Source organism: Homo sapiens, chromosome 8, assembly GCF_000001405.40.
Source record: "Homo sapiens chromosome 8, GRCh38.p14 Primary Assembly".
In the NCBI taxonomy this organism is placed as follows: Eukaryota; Metazoa; Chordata; class Mammalia; order Primates; family Hominidae; genus Homo; species Homo sapiens.
In genome coordinates, this window is record NC_000008.11 from 13,052,948 (window position 1) to 13,058,947 (window position 6,000).

Genomic DNA, 6,000 nt, shown 5'->3' on the forward strand with positions numbered 1-6,000 from the left:
ACCCAAGCCAAACCAACTCTGAAATCATTAAACAGTAACTCTCTATCCTCCCTTTCCCTTAGCTTTGGCAACGACCATTCTACTTTCTGACTCTATGAATTTGACTACTAGGTAGCTCATATAAGAAAAATCATACAATATCTGTCATTTTGCATCCTGCATATTTCATTTAACGTAATGCCTTCAAGATTCATCTATGTTGCTGCATGTGTCCGAATTTCACTCATTTCTAAGCCTCAATAATATATCATTGTATGTACATACCACTTTTTTTGTTCATTCATCTGTCAGTGGACACTTGAGTTGTTTTAAATTTAGAATAATTCAATTCAATTCAATTCAATTCAATTCAATTCAATTCAATTCAATTCAATTGGGTTGTTTGGTTACTGAGAATAAAGACATTATAAATATGAGTATACAAATATCTGTTGGAGTCTCTGCTTTCAGTTCTTTGGAGTATATGACCAGAAGTACAACTGCTGGATTATATGGTAACTCTATGTTTAATTTTTTGAGAAACCACCATACTGTTTTCCACAATGGCTGCAACACTTTACATTACCATCAGCAGTACACAAGGGTTCTGATTTCTCCACATCCTCACTAATACTTGTTTCTTTTTTTTTTTTTTAGTTTTTTAGAATGGCCATCCTAATGAGTGTGAAGTTGCATCTCATTGTGGTTTTGATTTGCATTACCTAATAATTAGTTATGTTAAGCGTCTTTTCTTGTGTTTATCACCTATTTGAATATCTTCTTTGGAGGAATGTCTCTGTGTCCTTTGCTTACTTTTAAAGGAATCTTTGAATATTATTTTTATCTTCGGGAATGTCTCTATAAAATATTTTAGCCAGTCCACGTATACTGAATGCCAATAATTTCTACAATAAAAATGCATTTCTAGCAAATCAAACCTACAATGGGATACTACCTCACACCCATTAGGACGGCTACTATCAAAAACCGGAAAATAACAATTGTTGGTGATGATGGGGAGAAACAGGAACCCTTGTACACTTTTTTTTTTTTTTTTTTTGAGACAGAGTCTTGCTCTGTCACCCAAGGCTGGAGTGCAGTGGCGCTATCTCGGCTCACTGCAAGCTCCGCCTCTCGGGTTTGAGCCATTCTCCTGCCTCAGCCTCCCGTGTAGCTGGGACTACAGGCACCTGCCACCACAGCCGGCTAATTTTTTGTATTGTTTTAGTAGAGATGGGGTTTCACCATGTTAGCCAGGATGGTCTCGATCTCCTGACCTCGTGATCCACCCACCTCAGCCTCCCAAAGTGCTGGGATTACAGGTGTGAGCCACCACACCCAGCCCCTTGTGCACTATTGATAGCAATGTAAAACAATGCAGACTTTCTAGAAAACAGGTTGATGGTTACTCAAAAAATTAAAGATAGGCCGTGCATGGTGGCTCACGCCTGTAATCCCAGCACTTTGGGAGGCTGAGGCGGGTGGATCATGAGGTCAAGAGATCGAGACCATCCTGGCCAACATGGTGAAACCCTGTCTTTACTAAAAATACAAAAATTAGCTTGGCGTGATGGCGTGCACCTGTAGTCCCAGTTACTCGGGCAGCTGAGGCAGGAGAATCGCTTGAATCCAGGAAGACAGAGGTTGCAGTGAGCCGCGATTGTGCCACTACACTCCAGCCTGGTGATAGAGCAAGACTACGTCTTAAAAAAAATATTAAAAACAGAATTAACATACCATCCAGCAATTCCACTTTGGGGTATATATCCAAAGAAACTGAAACAAGAGTCTCAAATAGATATTTGTACACCCCTGTTCATAGAAATATTATTCACAGTGGCTAGAAGGAAGAAACAACCTGAATGTCCATTAATGGATGAATGGATAAACACAATGTGGTATATCCATACAATGGAATATGATTCAGTCTTAAAAAGGAAGGAGCTTCAGACACATGATACAACACGAATGAACCTTGAGGACATTATGCTAAGTAAAATGTGCTAGTCACAAAAAGGCAAATATGGCATAATCCTCTTTATATGAGATAGCTAGTGTAGAGTAACTTACAGAGACAAAAGCAGAATAGTGTTCCCCAGATAATTCGGGAGGAAGAAATGGGGAGTTAGTTTTGCAAGATGAAAAGAGTTCTAGAGACTTGTTGCTCAACAGTCTGAATGTACCTAACACTACTGAACTTTGCCCTTAAAAATGATTAAGATGGGCCCAGTGCAGTGGCTCACGCCTGTAATCCCAGCAGTTTGGGAGGCCGAGGCAGGTGGATCATGAGGTCAGGAGATCGAGACCATCCTGGCTAACACAGTGAAAACCCGTCCCTACTAAAAAATACAAAAAGTTAGCCGGTCGTGGTGGCGGTTGCCTATAGTCCCAGCTACTCGGGAGGCTGAGGCAGGAGAATGGCGTGAACCCGAGAGGGAGAGCTTGCAGTGAGCCGAGGTAGTGCCACTGCACTCCAGCCTGCGCAACAGAGCAAGCCTCCGTCCAAAAAAAAAAAAATGATTAAGATGGTAAATTTGATATTATGTGTATTTTACAATTAAAAATAAAATTAAAAATATTTTATATTTTCATTTTGCTTCATCTAATAATATCAAGTGAACACCTTTTCACATCAATGAACATATTTCTACATTATTATTTTAGTGGATACATAATGTTCTATTTCATTATTGCATAACTTATTCAATGAGATTGCAATTTTTGTAAATTTACATTTTCTACAAAGCTAATATCATGAAGAAGCTGTAATTAACATTGCTGCGAGCTACAGCTTTGCCAACTGTGCAACCATTTCCTTAGAATCAATTCCTAGATGGGAAATGCTAGGTCAAATACGTCCAGAATCTGACCACTTTTTATAATCTACCTTGCGATGCCCCTGCCCCCAAATAGCCACACTGCTCTCCCACTTGCTACCTACAGGCTGATACCCATGGTCATGATGGGTGGCCTTCCCTGACCACCCTTTGCAACTGAAATGCTCTCCTCCCACCCAACACACACTCGCTGTCCCCATCTCTGCTTGTTCTCCACAGCACTGATCATTCTATAATAAGCTACCCCCACTTCTTGTTTATCGTGTTTACTGTCTGTCTTCCTCCTCTCCAGGACGTCAGCTCCATGAGGGTCAGGCTTCCTCTTTCGACTCCATCCCCATCCCCCAGCACTCAAGTATTCTTCAAGCATCCCTTAAACATTCCAACAGTAGGACCCAGTTCCTGTTTTGAAGGAATTCATGATCCACTGGGGGAAACCGAACTCAGACAACAGAGTAAATAATGCTATATTCCAGATATGCACAAGGCGCTGGAGAAAGCATCGAGGAAGCAATGACAGAGGAGGTGACATCTGAGCAGAGCCCTGATGGGTCAATCTGGGAACAGGAGAGAGGCAGTAACCCTACAGGGGCACATTTTGATGTGTGTGGATCATGGGCTGGGGTGGAGGGTGGGCAACGGTTGTGGCCAGATTGTAAATAGTGTTGAGTGTTGAGGGGCATCTGAAAGAGTTTTAGCTTTTTTTTTCATTCTTTTTTTTTTTTTTTTTTTTGAGAGAGGCTCTGTCTCTGTCATCCAGGCTGGAATGCAGTGGTGGGATCATAGCTCACTGCAGCCTCAAACTCCTGGAAGAGCCTTAATTTTAACCTGTAACATTCACATTAAATTTCAACCTGTCACAATCAAACTGTCCCCTAGGGCTTCATCACTGCCAGGCCACCTGATGATGGCAAGGTGCACAAGAAGATTAAATTGGGCTCTAATCTCCATTCCAGCACACCCCTGTTTGAGACAGGGCAGCCCAGCATGAGCTGGCTTACACACTGTGCTTCTGATGGGTCCTTCCTTGGAAGGCTGTGCTCAATGGCTGGAATTTTGAAAACCATCTCTGCTGGCAATGAAAGCTGCTGCCTTATAGAATGACCAAGGCCAGCACTTTGGGAGGCTGAGATGGGGGGATGATTTGAAACCAGCAGTTTGAGACCAGCCTGGGCAACATAGAGAGACCTTGTCTCTATAAAATAAACAAACAAAATTAGTCTGGTGTCGTGGCTGGTGTCCATAATCCCAGCTAGTGAGATTGAAGTGGGAGGGTCACTTGATGCCAAGGAGGTCAGGGCTGCAGTGAACCATGATTGCACCCTAAACTCCAGCCTGGGTAACAGAGCAAGAACCTGTCTCAAAATAATAATAATAATTAATAATAATAATAATAACCAAGTGGAATCTTCTCCTTTCTCCTCGCAGGAGGGCAGGGCCCTTTTACAACCTGTAAAAGTGTGTAGGTTTTCTGGAAAAGATTGAATTGCAGTGGGTATAGAAACCAACCTTGGGCTTTGGGGAGGGCTCAAACCTTGTCAAGGCTCGGCAAGAGAGAACACTGCTGCCTTCCACATGATAGCAAGTCACCCTTCCCGGCAGCACACCTGAGATCAGCTCCTGTTGCAATCCCTGTGTCCCAAGAGGTAAAGCAATTCACTAAAAACACACACTCAGTTAGCAGAACAGGTGACGTCAGCTTTCCAACTCTGACGCTTTTGATGGGTTGTTTAAAGTCCTAAAAAACCCACTAAGATGAAAATAGTGGAAGTGAGGCTGAGGTGGGAGGATCATTTGAGCCCAGGAGTTCGAGGTTGTAGTGAGCCATGATCGTGCCACTGCACTCCAACCTGGGCAACAGAGTGAGACGCTGTCTCAAAACAAACAAAAAATGTAGAACTGCAGAAGCAAGGGTACAGAACCTGCAACCTGGGTGGAGGGGTAAAAGGAGAGGGCAGGGAGGGGCATGTGGCAGGGAAGCTCGTGGAGGACTCCTAGACCATTGGATTTTGGCCAAATCTACTTTCTTTTTCTTTTCTTTCTTTTTTTTTTTTTTTTTTTTTTTTTTTTTTTTTTGAGACGCAGTCTCGCTCTGTCGCCCAGGCTGGAGTGCAGTGGCGCGATCTCGGCTCACTGCAAGCTCCGCCTCCCGGGTTCACGCAATTCTCCTGCCTCAGCTTCCTGAGTAGCTGGGATTACAGGCGCCCACCACCACGCCCAGCTAATTTTTCTATTTTTAGTAGAGACAGGGTTTCTCCATGTTAGCCAGGATGGTCTCGATCTCCTGACATTGTGATCCACCCGCCTCGGCCTCCCAAAGTGCTGGGATTACAGGCGTGAGCCACCGCACCCGGCCTGCCAAATCTATTTTCTAATCTGCAAAACAAGAGAGAAACTATGCTCTCTGGGCACCCTGTTACCTCTCACTGTGACATTTCTTTGTCTTTGAAAAGTGTAACGCATACAAGTGTGCCAGATTCCCATTTTCTATCAATTTCTATAAAGTTGCAACTAAGGTTATGAGAAACCTGGGTCACACCTAGGTAATAAAATGCTGACCTCGGGAGTCATGCAGTCCTCAGGTGGAGCAGAACGACCTGGCCTGGCTTGTGGAGACTCGCGGCTACGTGACTGCCCACTCACGATGCCCCTTGCTGTCCTGGGATGTGCCCCTGCTGGGCTGGATTGGCCCAGCCACTGGGCAGCGCGAGTCCCCCGCCTCCAGCGCCCCACAGGCTCCTAAGAGCCTCGGGTTCCCCATCATAGACAAAGGATTTGGATGAGCCCTCTGAGGTCCCCTCCAGCTCTCAGGTCTGAGGCTATGGCTTTATGAATATTGCATTTCACTCTGCAAAAAAAAATTAATGATACCATGTCTGAAAAGTGCCATGAATTCCTTGGGATAGAGGTGATGAGTTAATTTTGTCACCCATGGTTTCTGTAATCCAATAACATGGCAATACTCAGGCTGGGCTTGGTGGCTCATGCCTGTAGTCCCAGTATTTTGGGAGACGGAGGCAGGCAGATTGCTTGAGCTCAGGAGTTCGAGGCTGCAGTGAGCTATGACTGCACCACTGTACTCTAGCCTGGGCAACATAGTGAGACCCCGTCTCTGCAAAAATTTAAAATCTTAGCTGGGCATAGGCCAGGCGCGGTGGCTCACGCCTGTAATCCCAGCACTTTG

General features: G+C 44.4%; 1 annotated feature.

The window, feature by feature from the left end:
- Positions 5,481-5,981: an enhancer, noted in NCBI's record as "H3K4me1 hESC enhancer chr8:12915937-12916437 (GRCh37/hg19 assembly coordinates)". NCBI's record gives its function as "activates a minimal SCP1, AML or CMV promoter by ChIP-STARR-seq in primed H9 embryonic stem cells {active_cell/tissue: H9 hESC(primed)}" and the evidence as "EXISTENCE:reporter gene assay evidence [ECO:0000049][PMID:30033119]".